The sequence below is a fragment of the Homo sapiens genome, chromosome 19, assembly GCF_000001405.40.
Source record: "Homo sapiens chromosome 19, GRCh38.p14 Primary Assembly".
NCBI lineage: Eukaryota > Metazoa > Chordata > Mammalia > Primates > Hominidae > Homo > Homo sapiens.
Genome location: NC_000019.10, coordinates 18622838 through 18639416, shown reverse-complemented (window position 1 = coordinate 18639416; position 16579 = coordinate 18622838). Strand labels below are relative to the sequence as shown.

The 16579-nt window shown below is 52.8% G+C and overlaps 1 protein-coding gene and 1 pseudogene across 5 annotated transcripts in view, besides 8 other annotated features; one reads left to right on the top strand and one right to left on the bottom strand.

Moving 5' to 3' along the window:
• Nucleotides 1-2389, bottom strand: part of KLHL26 (kelch like family member 26) — a 34694-nt gene extending 32305 nt beyond the window's left edge. For all 5 annotated transcript variants that reach the window (NM_001345982.2, NM_018316.3, NM_001345981.2 and 2 more), the window contains exon 1: nt 2280-2389. Coding sequence is in view for 4 of the 5 variants with exons in the window: in NM_018316.3 (NP_060786.1) it covers nt 2280-2362 (83 nt within the window). In the remaining variant the exon portion in view is untranslated. The remainder of the gene's footprint in view (nt 1-2279) is intronic.
• Nucleotides 1436-1950: an enhancer, noted in NCBI's record as "H3K4me1 hESC enhancer chr19:18748277-18748791 (GRCh37/hg19 assembly coordinates)". NCBI's record gives its function as "activates a minimal SCP1, AML or CMV promoter by ChIP-STARR-seq in naive H9 embryonic stem cells {active_cell/tissue: H9 hESC(naive)}" and the evidence as "EXISTENCE:reporter gene assay evidence [ECO:0000049][PMID:30033119]".
• Nucleotides 1951-2465: an enhancer, noted in NCBI's record as "H3K4me1 hESC enhancer chr19:18747762-18748276 (GRCh37/hg19 assembly coordinates)". NCBI's record gives its function as "activates a minimal SCP1, AML or CMV promoter by ChIP-STARR-seq in naive H9 embryonic stem cells {active_cell/tissue: H9 hESC(naive)}" and the evidence as "EXISTENCE:reporter gene assay evidence [ECO:0000049][PMID:30033119]".
• Nucleotides 1951-2718: a biological region, named in NCBI's record as "Sharpr-MPRA regulatory region 5939".
• Nucleotides 2205-2714: a silencer, noted in NCBI's record as "silent region_10415". NCBI's record gives its function as "represses an Ori minimal core promoter by ATAC-STARR-seq in GM12878 lymphoblastoid cells {active_cell/tissue: GM12878}" and the evidence as "EXISTENCE:reporter gene assay evidence [ECO:0000049][PMID:35858748]".
• Nucleotides 2424-2718: an enhancer, noted in NCBI's record as "tiled region #5939; K562 Activating non-DNase unmatched - State 1:Tss". NCBI's record gives its function as "activates a minimal TATA promoter and a strong SV40 promoter by Sharpr-MPRA in K562 cells {active_cell/tissue: K562}" and the evidence as "EXISTENCE:reporter gene assay evidence [ECO:0000049][PMID:27701403]".
• Nucleotides 2765-2924: a silencer, noted in NCBI's record as "silent region_10414". NCBI's record gives its function as "represses an Ori minimal core promoter by ATAC-STARR-seq in GM12878 lymphoblastoid cells {active_cell/tissue: GM12878}" and the evidence as "EXISTENCE:reporter gene assay evidence [ECO:0000049][PMID:35858748]".
• Nucleotides 2935-3014: a silencer, noted in NCBI's record as "silent region_10413". NCBI's record gives its function as "represses an Ori minimal core promoter by ATAC-STARR-seq in GM12878 lymphoblastoid cells {active_cell/tissue: GM12878}" and the evidence as "EXISTENCE:reporter gene assay evidence [ECO:0000049][PMID:35858748]".
• Nucleotides 3055-3244: a silencer, noted in NCBI's record as "silent region_10412". NCBI's record gives its function as "represses an Ori minimal core promoter by ATAC-STARR-seq in GM12878 lymphoblastoid cells {active_cell/tissue: GM12878}" and the evidence as "EXISTENCE:reporter gene assay evidence [ECO:0000049][PMID:35858748]".
• Nucleotides 7509-7771, top strand: RN7SL155P (RNA, 7SL, cytoplasmic 155, pseudogene; annotated as a pseudogene).

The following is a 16579-nucleotide window of genomic DNA, read 5'->3' as shown; positions in this document are numbered from 1 at the left end:
AAAAAAAAAAAAACTTAATGATAAATTAAAATGAGTGAATTGGCTGGGTGCAGTAGTTCACGCCTGTAATCCCAGCACTTTGGGAGGCCGAGGCGGGTGGATCACCTGAGCTCAGGAATGCCAGACCTGCCTGGCCAACAGTGAAACCCTGTCTCTACTTAAAAAATACAAAAATTAGCCAGGCATGGTGGCGGGCACCTGTAGTCCCAGCTACTCAGGAGGCTGAGGCAGGAAAATCCCTTGAACCTGGAAGGCAGAGGTTGCAGTGAGCCGAGATTGCGCCACTGCACTCCAGCCTGGGTGACAGAGCAAGATTCTGTCTCAAAAAATAAATAAATAAATAAAAACAAAATGAGTGAATTGTATGCCATGCAATTAATTATATCTTGATAAAGCTGTTTATAAAAAAAGAGCCATGCCCAGCATGGTGGCTCACATCTGTAATCTCAGCACTTAGTGAGGGGTGAGGCAAGAAGATTGCTTGAGCCCAAGAGTTTGAGACCAGCCTGGCAACAGAGCAAGACCTGGTCTTTACAAAAAATTTAAAAATTAGCCAAGTGTGGTGGTGCACACCTGTAGTCCCAGCTACTCAGGAGGCTGAGGTGGGAGGATCACTTGAGTCCAGGAGTTTGAGGCTGCGGTGAGCCTTGGTGGCGTCACTGCACTCCAGCCTAGATACCTGGGTGACAGAGCGAGACGGGGTTTCAAAAAAATAAAAATAAAAAAAGCCCTAGCCCCAGGTTATCCCACTCCAGTGCCCAAGGCAGGGACCTGGGGTTCACTGTCCCTCTTCCCTGTCCCTTACTTGCCAACTGATACCCAATTTTCAAGCCCTGGCCACTCCCTGAATATCTCTGAAAATCCTCTGACATCTCCTGGCTCCCTACTGCAGGACAATCTTGCCCCACACCTACCCCAGGAGGCTGGTCACCCCTCTGGACACACACCTCCTGGGTTCCCCATGGCCCCTCTGGCAGACCAGATTCAATGCCCACAGACCTAAGTCTCAAGGTGCCACTCAGCATCCTCAGGAACAGGCAGGGCCTTTGCCTCCTCTGTGCCCTGGCCCAGCCATCCCTCCTCCCTTCCCCACCCATCCCATGCGTGTTCCATTCAGTACCAAATCACACAGCCAGGCCATCAGGCCATTCCCTCCAACAATCAGCCCACAGGTCCAAAACTCCACAGCACGTAAGTATCAAACAACTTCATCATTTATCATGTTGCCTGAAATTACTGGCTCCTGGAAGCTCACCAGCAAGAAAAAGCCTGAATTTCCTCCTTGGCCTGACCTGGGTGCTGGGCTAGAGGAGGAGCTGGGGTGGGAGGGTCTGGCTTTGCCCAATAGGAAAAGAGCAGGAGATCACACTCCTAAGGCAGGTGTTCTTTCCCTCTGACAATCCAATACAATGCATGCACACACATATCATTAGTTATTGATGATAACTAATTGTCATGCAAACCTGGACGTTCAAGCAATCCATGTCAGGACTGGGCCATGGGGAAAGGGGGCCTCCCTCTGACCAAAGGGGTGAATTCTGTCCCCTTGTCTGAGGGCAAGACCTTTCTGTAAGTCCTTTAGCCTGTTGGGGATGTGGATTTGGACCCCATGGGGATGGAAGGGAGGAGCCCCAAAGAAGAACCCTCTGTATGTTCTTTATAAACCCCCTGGAGTTCTCTCACCCCCCTCAGGTTCCCTAGACCCACCCCAGGCCCCCTCAGCCTCCCCATCTCAGACTCCCAGATTCACCTAAGTCCCCCACCCAGAGCCTCCCACAGTCTCTACTCCTTCCAGCGCCCCTCAGCACGCTCTCAGGACCACCTTTAGCCACCTTGGGGCCCTTCAGCACCTCCCAGGATGCCTTGGGCCTTAGCCCCTTCCTCAGAGCCCCCAAGACACCTCACCACCCTCAGACTGGCCATGGCATGGCCCCTGCTCAGGCCCTCTCTGCTGCCCAGGCCCTTTGGCATCCCCAGTTGCCCCACGGCCCACCACAGTCAAGAGCCCCTCGGTTTCCCTTCAGACCCCCAGGATTCTCAGGTCCCTAGGGCCGCCTGCAGACGCCTCGAGGTCCTGGGGCACCCAGCCCCCCTCCAGCCACCCCCTCAGTAGCCCTCGGCTCCTCCAGTACCCCACGGCCCCGTAAAGTCCAAATTCTCAGCGAAAGACCCTCGAGCCGTGCCAGGCCTCCCCTCAACCCCTCAGGACGCCCAAGACTGCCCACAGGTTTCCTGGGCTCCAAGACAGGTGCAGGTCTATCCTGCGGGCCGGGTCTCACCTGTTCGGGCGCTCGGGGCCCGGGCCCGCGCCGAAAGCGCCGCCGCCACCAGCACCACCGCTGCTACCGCCGGACTCCGCCATCTTCCCCCCGCCGTCGCGCGTTCGAGTGACGGGAGCCGCGCGCGCAGGCCCGGGAAACCGAGACGCGGGGGGCGGGGCGGGGCCAGGTCTGCGGAGGGGCGGGGCCGGGACCAGAAACCAAGGATTGGGGCGGGCCCGGAATCGGAGGGGCGTGGTCTACGGAGGGCCGGGGCGGGTCTGGGATAAAGGGAGGGGCCTGCTATGCAGAGAGGTGGGTCCAGGGCGGGGCCTGGGCTAGGGGTGCCGGATTGGGGCGGGACCCTGGCGTGAGGGGCGGAACCAAGTCTGAAAGGGAAGCGGTTCTGGGCTGAGAGGGCGTATTGTCTGTGGATAGGTGGGGACGGGGCGAAGCAGGACAAGTAGGCGCAGGATGGGGTTGGTCCCTGGGCTGAGGAGTGGGGCGGGGTCTGAAGAAGGGGCAGGCCCAGGGCAAGAGGAGGAGGGACAAGGGTCCGGCCTGCGGAGGAGGCGGGGCGCAGGATAAAGGGCGGGGCCAGGTGTGAGAAGGGACAAGGTGGAGGTTAGGAATGCGGTGGGGGAGTGGTCGGGGAGGTAGAAAGGAGAAGATGGGTCTGAGGTTGGGCGGGTCTGGGCAGGAGAGAGGAGGAATCTGGGGATGGATGTGGTCAAGCGAAGAGAGGGCCTGGTCTGAGGAAGGGCGGGGCCTGGGCGAGGGGTGGAGTCTGGTTGGAAGGAGGGCGGGGAAGATCAGGGGTGTGTGCGTGGAGGGGGCGAGGGATTGGCGGGGCCGGGGGGGCGGAGCCTCATCTGATGGGGGTGGGGCCGGGCTAAGTGAGCGGCGGATCTGAGGAGGGGCGGGGCACGTGCAGGTGTTAAGGAGTGTCTGTGAGTGCCCTGGGGCGCTGGCAGGCGTGCCCCGGGCGTTGGCTGGGCGTGGTTATACTTTGAGGCGTTGGAGCCACAGGGAAGTGAGTTATAGGTAGGGTGGGAGGGAGGGTGAGATGGAGCATGGAGAAATGGGTCTCTAAGCTCTGAGAACCACACCCTCCCTCTCCCCACCCTGCACACCCCGACTCCAGTCTTACCTCCTTCCCAGGCCTCTCTCAGGGGCGAAACTCACCCATGCCCAGGCCTCAGACTTCCAGCCCCTCATGGTTCCCCACCCTCCCCTGACATACCCTCTTCAGAGCCTCCACCCTGAGACCCCAATCATCTGGCCTTAGGTTCCCACCACCTGCTTCATACACCAATTCTGGTTTCTCATACTCTAAAACCCTGCACATCCAATTATCTCCCATTCTCTACTCAAAACTCATCTCCCACTCCCCCAAATCCCTGCCCACAGATCCTTCAAACCTTACACTCCCAAAGTCCATTCCACCGGACCCAACACCCTCAGATCCCCAAGCACCAGCCCTCCCAACACACTGACCCTCAGCCAGGGCTCAAAGTCCTGCATCTATAGGCGTCTATGAAGCATCTAGACCTTTTGGGGGCACCCCTCACCCCCCATCTCTGGTAAGCTCCAGGCTCCCAGGATCCCCTCTGTAGCTTGGAGCTCATTTATTCTTTTAACCTCCAAGTCAGAAAACTCTGACTTGTGCAGTCTTGGGCAGAAAGCAGTGATCCAGAAGGAGCTCAAAGCCTTCTTTCCCGTCAGTGCTGGAAGAAGGAGGTGGCTATGGGGCTGGAGACCCCATAGGAGGAAGGAAGGGGCCTGCTTGAGTGGACTCCTGCAGGTTGGACCGCACTCAACCAGCATCTCCAACAGAGGGCCTGATACAACAATACGTGCTCAATCGTTACACAAAATGCTCTCAGATGACCCTGTGCAAGCTGACAGATACCAAGTGCTGAAGGGAACTGCTGGCATCTCCAATACACAGTAAGCACTCTGCAAATGTTGAATGCACGCGTGCATGAACAGCTCACGTTCCGGCAAGCTCTGCACACACACACACACACCCTTGCCTGCCCTAAGTCAGCACCGCCCCAGGAGTCTTTGTTCCAGACGAACCACATGCAGGCATCAAACCTCACTCAGCAGCGACCTACAGCTGACACACCCGCCACAAATAACATTTGAAATCAATGGTGTCCATATGCACGCACACTTCATAAACATCCAGATTTGACCCATATGTCAGACACACAAGACACACAGCTGAAGATAAGAAAGAAGAGGTTCTCTGGGCTCCTGGCTGTGCACACACACATAGTGTGCTGTAGACTCACTGCACTTTGGACACACTGTGTGATCTGTCCTCCACGATCACATAGCACAGGGCAGCCAGTGCAATGTCCCTGGGGCAGGAGCGTGCCTAGAGAGTGGCCTGGCAGAGAAAAATTAGGAAGAGGGAGAGGAGAGGGGAGGAGAATGGGTGGGAGGCAACAGGAGGTGCTTCAGGTCACAGAGGGCTTTGGGGATCATTTTTGGGGTCCTCTGCATGAAATGAGAAGGGAGAGGGGGCTTGTAAGCAGTGGCAATGTAATTGACACTGGGTTTTTGTTTTGTTTTGTTTTGTTTTGTTTTTGAGACGGAGTCTTGCTCTGTGGCCCACCCTGGAGTGCAGTGGTGCGATCTCAGCTCACTGCAACCTCCGCCTCCTGGGTTCAAGCCATTCTCCTGCCTCAGCCTCCTGAGTAGCTGGGACTACAGGCATGTACCACATGCCTGGCTAATTTTTTTTTTTTTTTTGAGATGGAGTCTCACTCTGTCACCCAGGCTGGAGTGCCGTGGCACAATCTCAGCTCACTGCAATCTTCGCCTCCCAGGTTCAAGTGATTCTCCTGCCTCAGCCTCCCGAGTAGCTGGGACTACAGGCATGTGCCACCACGCCCAGCCAATTTTTGTATTTTTAGTTGAGATGGTTTCACCATGTTGGACAGGCTGGTCTCAAACTCCTGACCTCAAGTGATCCACCTGCCTTGGCCTCCCAAAGTGCTGGGATTACAGGAGTGAACCACTGTGCCCAGCATAATTTTTGTATTTTTATTAGAGACGGGGTTTCACCATGTTGGCCAGGCTGGTCTCGAACTCCTGACCTCAAGTGATCTGCCCGCCTCAGCCTCCCAAAGTGCCAGGATTATAGCGTGAACCACTGCACCCAGCTGACATTGGTTTTAACAGTGTCAATTTAACAGTGTTACAGTGTCTGACTGTTCAACAGTGTCTGACAACTGGGGGACAATATCTTGAATTTGGGACATGAGTCAGGAGGCATATAATCCAGGGAAAAATGGGTAGGGCTCATCCCAGGGTGACAGACATGGAGGGGTGGGAGGTAGTCCTAGTTGAGATGCACTTTGCAGGTGGGACCAAAAAGAGATGGAACAGATGGGATGTCGAGTGAGGCAGAGTGAGGCCAGTGACCTCTGCCAGAGCTGTTGGCCTGAGCTCTAGAGGCCACTATCACTGGCATGGAGCAGAGACAAGTGGAGGACCTGGAGGGCCCACGCCGGTGACTGCACACGCCTCATCCAGTAATGATGACCTGTGGTCTAGCAGAGCCGGCAGGCAGGGACATAGCAGGCAGCATCCACGGGCCTGGCCACCATCTGGCCCACAGCTGGCACGGCTCTCCTAGAGGCAGGGCCCGCGCCACCTGCTCTCCCACTTCAGACCAGCTGCAGGGCTCACACCCTCAGGTCAGAGCTTGGAGGCCTCCCTTACAATCCCCAGGTGTTATGGAGGAGGAAAGTGAAGCCTTGGGGGAGGGCTTCAAGTTCCTGTGGTTTTAGGCTGGGGACAGTGTCTGCCCCATCAGGCAGTCACCACGGAGTGGTCCTGGGGCAAGCCCAAGGTCCCCCGACATCAACTCCCTGTCCTCAGTCCTGTTTGATTTTTCTCCTATCTAACAAACTCTGTGTTTTACCTTTTTTTTTTTTTTTTGAGACAGAGTCTCGCTCTGTCACCAGGCTGGAGTGTAATGGCACAATCTTGGCTCACCGCAACCTCCGCCTCCGAGGTTCAAGCAATTCTCCTGCCTCAGCCTCCCAAGTAGCCGGGATTACAGGCATGCACTACCACGCCTGGCTAATTTTTGTATTTTTAGTAGAGACAGGGTTTCACCATGTTGGCCAGGCTGGTCTTGGATTCCTGACTCAGACGATTCACCCACCTCAGCCTCCCAAAGTGTTGGGATTACAGGCGTGAGCCACTGCGCCTGGCCCTAAATTTTTTTTTAATGGAGGCGGCACATCCTTTCAGGATCATGAGTGAGGCTTGCTGACAAACACCATGATCTCTCTCTGTTACCCCAGCCAGCAGCCTCCCGCACCTCCTTGAAGTCATGTCTGCACTGGCCCCACCTTCTTTTTTTATGTTTTATTTATTTATTTAAATTTTTGTTGTTGTTTTTGTTTTGTTTTGTTTTTTTGAGACAGAGTCTCACTCTGTCGCCCAGGCTGGAGTGCAGTGGCGCGATCTCATATCACTGCAACCTCCACCTCCCGGGTTCAAGCGATTCTCCTGCCTCACCCTCCCAAGTCTCTGGAATTACAGTTGCCCACCACCAGGCCTGGCTGATTTTTGTATTTTTAGCAGAGACAGCATTTCATCATGTTGGCCAGGCTGGTCTCAAACTCCCAACCTCAGGTGATCCGCCCACTTCGGCCTCCCAAAGTACTGGGATTACAGGCACGAGCCACCTCGACTGGCTACCTTCTTTTTTTATGTTTTATTTATCCATTTTCTTAAAAGACAGGGTCTTGGCCAGGTGCGGTGGCTTACGCCTGTAATCCCAGCACTTTGGGAGGCCAAGGCGGGCGGATCACCTGAGGTCGGGAGTTTGAGACCAGCCTGACCAACATGGAGAAACCTCATCTCTAATAAAAATACAAAATTGGCCGGGCGTGGTGGCTCACGCCTGTAATCCCAGCACTTTGAGAGGCCGAGGCGGGCAGATCACGAGGTCAGGAGATCGAGACCATCGTGGCTAACATGGTGAAACCCCGTCTCTACTAAAAAATACAAAAAAAATTAGCCAGGCGTGGTGGTGGGAGCCCATAGTCCCAGCTACTTGGGAGGCTGAGGCAGAAGAATGGCGTGAACCCGGGAGGCGGAGCTTGCAGCGAGCCCAGATCGCACCACTGCACTCCAGCCTGGGTGACAGAGCGAGACTCTGTCTCAAAAAAAATAAAAATAAAAATAAAAATAAAATAAATAAATAAATATACAAAATTAGCCGGGCGTGGTGGCACATGCCTGTAATCCCAGCTACTCGGGAGGCTGAGGCAGGAGAATGGCTTGAACCCAGGAGTCGGAGGTTTCAGTGAGCCGAGATCATGCCATTGCACTCCAGCTTGGGCAACAAGAGCAAAACTCTGGCTCAAAAAAAAGAAAGACAGGGTCTTCGTCTCGCTCTGTCACCTAGGCTGGAGTGCAGTGGCACGATCATAGCTGACTGTAACCTCCAATTCCTGGGCTCAAGCCATGCTCCCTCCTCAGCTTCCTGAGTAGCTAGAACTATAAGGCATATGCCACCATGCCTTTCTAATTTTATTATTTTATTTTTATTTATTTATTTTTTTGAGACAGGGTCTCACTCTGTCACCCAGAGTGCAGTGGTGCAACCTCAGTTCACTGCAGCCTTGACTTCCTGGGCTCAAGTGATCCTCCTACCTCAGTCTCCCGAGTAGCTGAGACCACAGGTGTGCGCCACCACGCCCAGCTAATTTTTGCATTTTTTTTTTTTTGTAGAGTTGAGGTTTCACCATGTTGCCCAGGCTGGTCTTGAGCTTCTGAGCTCAAGCAATCTGTCCACCTCAGCCTCCTAAAGTGCTGGGATTACAAGCATGAGCCACCACGCCGGGCCCTTTTATTTATTTATTTATATTTTTAGAGATAAGGTCTCACTCTGTCGCCCAGGCTGAAATGCAGTGGCGCAATCATAGCTCACTGCAGCCTCAACCTCCTGGGTCAAATGAGCCTCGTACCTCAGCCTCCAGAGTAGCTGGGACCACAGGTGTATGCCAGTACACCTGGCTAATTTTGTAAAAAAAATTTGGTAGAGACAGAGTCTCACTATATTGTTCAGGCTGGTCTTGAACTCCAGGCCTCAAGTGATTCTCCCACTTCAGCCTCCCAAAGTGCTGGGATCACAGGTGTGAGCCACCATACCTAGTGTATATCTTGATTATAGGGGTATCTTAGGAGGATTACATTTGCCAAAACTCATTGAACTGGGCATTTAACATGGATGTGCCATTGGATGTAAATTATGTCTTATTAAAGCTGGTTTACTAAGGCTGGGCGCGGTGGCTCACGCCTGTAATCCCAGCACTTTGGGAGGCCAAGGTGTGTGGATCACAAGGTCAGGAGATCGAGACCATCCTGACTAACACGGTGAAACCCCGTCTCTACTAAAAATACAAAAAATTAGCCGGGTGTAGTGGCGGGCACCTGTAGTCCCAGCTACTTGGGAGGCTGAGGCAGGAGAATGGTGTGAACCCAGGAGGCGGAGCTTGCAGTGAGCCAAGCCATTGCACTCCAGCCTGGGTGACAGAGTGAGACTCTGCCTCAAAAAAAAAAAAAAAAAAAAAAAGCTGATTTACTAAAACAAAATCAGGCCAGTTGCGGTGGCTCAAGACTGTAATCCCAGCACTTTGGGAGGCCGAGGCAGGAGGATCACTTGAGTCCAGGAGTTTAAGACCAGCCGTGGCAACATAGAGGGATCCCATCCCAATAGAAAAAAAAAGAAAAGGTCAAATCCACCCAATGTGATAAGAACTAGGACTACCTCTGGGGGGCGACCAACTGGGACCCACCACTGTGGGGACTAGGGTGCTGAGAGGCTGCTGGGGATTCAACTGTCAGCCCATCCGACAAGATCCTTGACCTCATGTTCCAAGATATTCTGAAAGGTACATTCTGATGGGAAAGACAAATCTGAGATATATAATTGATCAATGACCAAGGCCATTTCAGATGGCAATAACTGCCTTGAAGGCAATGAGCTGAGAGCGATCAAGTGTGTGTTGGGTAGGGGAGCACTGCTTCAGCCAGAAGATCAGGGAGAGCCTCCCTGAAGAGGTGATGATGTCCCAGCTTCAGTAAAAGAAGGGGACAGAATGTTCTAGAATGTTCCAGGACATTCCAGAACATTGTGCAATGTTCCCGTATATTCTGAGAGGACATAATATGAAGGACCTAAGCCCAGTGCCAGAAAAAGCTCAAGGGATAGAGATGAGGCCGCACTGGCTTGGAAGAAGTGGGCAAGGCGGAGCAAGGATGGAGAGTGTCGACAAAGATGTATTGAGAGCAGCCTCCTTGGTGTGTGGGACACAGCTGTGACCGAGACGCCTAGCGCATAGCATCTGGCAGAGGGAACATTTATTAAACCAATCATCACACAAGCAAACAAGCCATCACTTAATTGTCACCATGATAAAAGCTGGGGCTGAGCCAGGAGGTCAGGCTGAAGAGCTGGCCAGACGGAGCGAAGAGGGAACAGCCTCCAGGCGGAGGGAACAGCCTGCATGGGGGCCCTGAGGAGGGAGAGTGTGCCAGGAGCTGCATGGAGCCCAACAGGGACCTGAAGTCTCCTCTTCGCACCCCAGGAAAAGACAGCCACCATGCATCCCCATCCTGCCCTCCAAGTGTTTACAGAATGTCCCCTGTGTGCCAGCTGGATGCTGGGGACACCCTCTCCCCATTTCTTCCTGGCGGATTGCCACCCCTGGGCTAAGAAACTCAGGCCTGTCACTAGGGAACCAAGTTGCTGTGGCAACCCTGTGCTACCGTTGCCATGACGCCAGCCACCCACCCACCCACTACCAGGTCTGTGTGCAGCTCAGGATGAAAATGGAGGGAGGGGCAGGGCTCTAGGACAGAAGAGGAAATTGAAGCTCAGAGACAGAGCTGTGGTGAGTCTGGTCTTCAGCTACGTGGTCAAAGAGGCCTTTCTCTCCTGAGAGTCAGGATAGGGTAAGGGGTTGGTTACTGGGCAGAGCAGCCCCAAGGCCTCTGCATGGCAAGCGGGGTTCTTTCCCAGCCATCCCAGACACCCTTGTTGGGTCATTCCTCTGTGACCTGCGTTGATGGGTACTGGGGTCACAGCCGATGCAGCCCTGCCCTCCCAGTGAGCCCAGTCTTGAGTGATGTAGGAGGCAGAAGATGAACCCATAAAGAAGTAAATAGGCTGAGCACAGTGGCTCACGCCTGTAATCCCAGCACTTTGGGAGGCTGAGGTGGATAGATCATGAAGTCAGGAGTTTAAGACTAGCCTGGCCAACATGGTGAAACCTTGTCTCTACTAAAAATACAAAAAATTAGCCGGGCGTGGTGGTGGACACCTGTAATTCCAGCTACTTGGGAGGCTGAGGCAGAAGAATCACTTGAATCCGACAGGCGGAGGTTGTGGTGAGCCAAGATTGCGCCACTGCACTCCAGCCTGGACGACAGATGAAACAACAAAAATCAAACAAATAAAACGAAGGAAGAAGGAAGACTGCAGGTGCTGGGTAGATGCCTACCAAGTCCGTAACAGCATTGCAAAGCAAAGGGAAGCTGCAGAAAAGGCCCCAAGGCCAGACCATTGATTCAAAATGAGGACAAGCGCATTTTGGTCTCCAAGACCAAAAGGCAGGAGGGATGGCACAGGAGAGGTGGCTGCCAGGCTGGCAAAGATCAAAAGCTCTTCATAGGTGAGCAGGAGAATTAGGTTATCCCCCCTCAACCTCCTGAGTAGCTGGGATTACAGGCCTGAGCCACCACACGCAGGTAATTTTTGTATTTTTAGTAGAGACAGGATTTCGTCATGTTGGCCAGGCTGGTCTCGAACTCCTGACCTCAAGCCATCCACCTGCCTCAGCCTCCCAGAGAGCTGGGACTATAGGTGTGAGCCACCATGCCTGGCCTCCATTATTTTTATTTTTATTTATGTATTTATTTTAAGACAGAGTCTTGCTCTGTTGCCCAGGCTGGACTGCAGTGGCATGATCTCGGCTCACTGCAACCTCTGCCTACCGGGTTCAAGAGATTCTCCTGCCTCAGCCTCCCGAGTAGCTGAGACTACAGGCACGTGCCACCATGCCTGGCTAATTTTTGTATTTTTAGTAGAGACAGGGTTTCACCATGTTGGCCAGGCTAGTCTCTAACTCCTGACCTCAGGTGATCTGCCCACCTCAGCCTCCTAAAGTGCTGGAATTACAGGCATGTGCCACTGCCCTCAGCCAACAAATAATTTTTAATCAACGACGAATGTCATCAGAGCAGGGAAGATGGACAGGAAGTGAAACATGGGGATCCCAGGGGATGCTGACGTGGCTGAGAACTTGGTGAAGCAGGACCAGGAGTGTGCTCCTGGCAGAGGGGACTGCATGTGCAAAGGCCCTGGGGCTGGAAGGAACAAGGTAGGCTCAAGAAATCCAGAGAGAACCTCACGCAGCCGCCAGAGCAGAGGGAGTGAGGGGCAGAGCCTCACAGAAGCGCTTGGTGATGGCCGGGTGCAGTGGCTCACACCTGTAATCCCAGCACTTTGGGAGGCCGAGGTGGGTGGATCACAAAGTCAGGAGATCGAGACCATCCTGGTGAACACAGTGAAACCCTGTCTCTACTAAAAATACAAAAAAAAATTAGCCGGGCGTGGTGGCGGGCGCCTGTAGTCCCAGCTACTCGGGAGGCTGAGGCAGGAGAATGGCGTGAACCCAGGAGGCAGAGCTTGCAGTGAGCGGAGATCACGCCACTGCACTCTAGCCTGGGCGACAGAGTGAAACTCCATCTCAGAAAAAAAAAAAAGCGCTTGGAGATGTTAGGTTAGTGTTAGTGAGACCCGATCGTGGGAATCTCTGCTGTCTGGGAATGTTTGGGCTCCTCAAGACAACAGTAAACCCCAGAAAGGTGTGGAGTCTGGGGTCAGATTTGCTTTATCCAAGATGGAACCAGAGGGCAACTGGAGAGGCCGGAAGCCCCAAGAGGAGGAGGTGGGCACCATTGCTGAGTGAGAGGCAGTGGCAGCTTGGACTTCGGTGGTTGCCATGGAGACAAAGAGATGCTTGTGGGCTGGAGGTATGCTTTGGAGGCCTAGGGGACAAGCTGTGCTGATGGAATGAAGTGAGGTGAGGACAGTTAAGAATCAAGATGCAGCCCAGATGTCTAGAGCCACTAAGAAGAGAAACTGGGGGCCAGGCAAGGAGACAGAGTGAGTCCATATGAAGTCCCTTTCAAACTGGGCTGACCAGTGACAGTAGCCATTTAAATCCACAGCAGGGCCGGCCGCAGTGGCTCATGCCTGTAATCCCAGCACTTTGGAAGGCTGAGAGAGGTCAGGAGTTCAACAGCAGCTTGGCCAACAGGGTGAAACCCCGTCTACTAAAAATACAAAAATTAGCCCGGTGTGGTGGTGGATGTCTGTAATCTCAGCTACCTGGGAGGCTGAGGCAGGAGAATCACCGGAACCTGGGAGGCGGAGGTTGCAGTGAGCCAAGATTGCACCACTGCACTCCAGCCTGGGCAACAGAGCAAGACTCTGTCTCAAAAACAATAACAATTTAAAAAAAATCCATGGCAGGTATGGCTGCACAACATTGTGGATGCAATTAATGCACTCAAAACTCATGAAAATGGCAAATTTTGACCAGGCATGGTGGCTCACGCCTGTAATCCCAGCACTTTGGGAGACCGAGGCAGGAAGATCACTTAAGTCCAGGAGTGCAAGACCAGCCTGAGCGACATAATGAGTCCTCATCTCTATAAAAAATCAAAAAATAGGCTGGACATGGTGGCTCACGCCTGTAATCCCAGCACTTTGGGAGGCTAAGGCTAGTGGATCACCTGAGTTCAGGAGTTCAAGACCAGCCTAGCCAACATGGCAGAATCCCATGTCTACTAACAAAATACAAAAATTAGCCTGGCGTGGTGTAATCCCAGATACTCGGGAGGCTGGGACAGAAGAATTGCTTGACACCAGGAGGCAGAGGTTGCAGTGAGCCGAGATCGTGCCACTGCACTCCAGCCTGGGCAACAGAGAGACTCTGTCTCAAAAAAAAATTAAAAAATTAGCCAGGCATGATGTCATGTCAGAGACAGGATCTTACTCTGTCACCCAGGCTGGTATGCGGTGGTGCAGTCACAGCTCACTGCAGCCTCAACCTCCCCAGGCTCAAGCAATCCTTCCTCCTTAACCTTCCAAGTATCTGGGAGTAGCTGGGACTACAGGCAGCCGCCATAATACCTGGCTAATTTTGTATATACGTATATTTTTTGTAGAGACAGGGCTTCACTTTGTTGCCTGCATCTGGCCTAAAAAATTGTTTTAGAGAAAGGGTCTTGCTATGTTGCCCGAGCTAGTGTCAAACTCCTAGTCTCAAGCAATCCTCCCACCTCAGCCACCTTAGTAGCTGGGACTAGAGGCACATGCCCCCACAACTGGTCAATTTCTTTTTTTTTTTTAAATAAAGACGGGTGCCTCAGCTGGGTGCAGTGGCTCACGCTGTAATCCCAGCACTTTGGGAGGCCGAGGTGGGCAGATCACCGGATGTCAGGAGTTCAAGACCAGCCTAGTCAACATGGCGGAACCCCATCTCTAATAAAACAATACAAAAATTAGCTGGGCGTGGTGGCAAGTGACTGTAATCCCAGCTCCCAGCTACTCGGAAGGCTGAGGCAAGAGAATCGCTTGAACCTGGGAAGCGAAGGTTGGTGTGAGCTGAGATCGCGCCACTGCCCACCAGCCTGGGCGACAGTGTGAGACTCAGTCTCAAAAAAAGAAGACAGGTGCCTCACCATGTTGCCCAGGCTGGTCTTGAACTCTTGGGCTCAAGTGATCCTCCTGCCTCAGCCTCCCAAAGTGCTGGGATTATAGCTGTGAACCACCGTGCCCAGCCGGAAAAATCTTACATGTACATCAACTCAAACTAAACAAAATAAGAAACACAATTTGTCAGTTACACTAGCCATGTTGGAAGTGCTCAGTAACTTCCAGGTGGCTGGGAGTAGTGCAGACATAACGTTTCTATCATCAAAGAAAGTTCTACCAAAGAGAACGGCTGGCTGTCATTCTCTTCTCACCTCTGCCCATGTCTTATTTCTGGGCAACATTCCTAGAGGTTTTCCTGAAACCCCACACAGGGCCCAGAATGATACTCCCTGGGGCCCATATTACATCTGGGTTGAATCCTGATGGTCATGGTACCAGGCGGATCACTTGAGGTCAGGAGTTCGAGACCGGCCTGGCCAACATGGCAAAACCCCGTCTCTAGTAAAAATACAAAAATTAGCCAGGTATGGTGGCTTGCACCTGTAATCCCAGCTACTTGGGAGGCTGAGGCAGGAGAATCACTTAAACCTGGGAGGTAGACGTTGCAGTGAGCCCAGATCTCGCCACTGCACTCCAGCCTAAGCGACAAAGTGGGACTCTGTCTCAAAATAGATTAATAAATAAAGTGGTTGGGAGGCCGAGGCTAACGGATTACCTGAAGTCAGGAGTTCAAGACCAGCCTGGCCAACATGGTGAAAGCCTGGCTCTAATAAAAATACAAAAATTAGCCGGGCGTGGTGGTATGCACCTGTAATCCCAGCTACTCAGTAGGCTGAGGTCGAAGAATCACTTGAACCGAGGGGATGGAGGTTGCAGTGAGCCAAGATCGTACCACTGCACTCCAGCCTGGGCAACAGAGCGAGACTCCGTCTCAAAATACATACATACATACATACATACATACATACATACATACATACATACATAAATGGGCTATACATGTATTTTTTGAACCACAGTCCCACTCTGTCACCTAGGCATGATCATAACTCACTGTAACATTGAACTCCTGGGCTCAAGCGATCCTCCCACCTGGGCCTATCGAAGAGCTGGGATTACAGATGTGAGCCACCCTGCCTGGCCTAAAGGAACAATTATTATTATTGTATTTATTTATTTGAGACAGAGTCTTGCTCTGTCTCCCAGGCAGGAGTGCAGTGCATGATCCCAGCTCACTGCAACCTTTGCCTCCTGGGTTCAAGCAATTCTCCTGCCTCAGCCTCCTGAGTAAGTAGCTGGGTCTACAGGCACACACTGCCACGCCTGGCAAATTTTTTGTATTTCAGTAGAGACAGGGTTTCACCATGTTGCCCAGGTTGGTTGTGAACTCCTGAGCTCAGGCAATCCACCCGCCTCAGCTTCCCAAAGTGCTGGGATTACAGGTGGGAGCTACCGTGCCCGGGCTATTATTGCTATTATTTGAGACAGTGCCTCACTCTTTCGCCCAGGCTGCAGTGTAGTAGCATGATCTCGGCTCACTCCAACCTCCGCCTCCCAGGTTGAAGGATTCTCATGCCTTAGCCTCCCAAATATCCGGGATTACAGACATGGGCCACCACGCCCAGCTAATTTTTTGTATTTTTAGTAGGAACGGGGTTTCACCATGTTGGCCAGGCTGGTCTCAAGCTCCTGGCATCAAGTAATCCTTCCGCCTCACCCTCCCAAATTGCTGGGATTACAAGCATGAGCCACCGAGCCCAGCCTTTTATTTTGATTTATCTATTTATTTTTTTGGAAATGGTCTCACTCTTCTCAGCCACGCTGGAGTGCATTAGTGCAATCATGGCTCACTGCAGCCTTGTCTTCCTGGGCTCAAGTGATCCCTCCACCTCAGCTTCAGCTCAGCAGCTGAGATTACTGGTGCCCACCACCAGGTCTGGCTAAATTTTTAAATTTCTTGTAGAGATGAATCTTGCTATATTCCCCAGATTTGTCTCAAACTCCTACACTCAAGTGATCCTCCCGCCTCAGACTTCCAAAGTCCTGGGATTACAGGCATGAGCCACCACACCCGGCCAAGGGGCCCTTTTTTTTCTTTTTTTTTTTTTTTTTTGAGACAGAGTTTCGCCCTTGTTGTCCAGGCTGGAGTGCAATGGTGCAGTCTTGGCTCACTGCAACCTCTGCCTCCAGGGTTCAAGTGATTCTCCTGCCTCAGCCTCCCGAGTAGCTGGGATTATAGGAGTGCGCCACCATGCCTAGCTAATTTTTGTATTTTTGTAGAGACGGGAATTTCGCCACGTTGGCCAGGCTGGTCTTGAACCCCTGACTTCAGTTGATCCACCCTCCTCTGCCTCCTAAAGTACTGGGATTACAGGCATGAGTCACTGCGCCCCGCCCCTCCAGAGCTCTTGAAGATCTCCAGGGGAGGCTGCTTGGTCGAGTTGTGGTCTTGAGTCAGGGGATGCTGGGAAGGACACCAGGAAAGACCTTGACTCCTCCCTCCTCTCATCTCCTGCCAGTGGTCCCTCTGACTGACTCCAGTGGAAAGAAGAGGGTC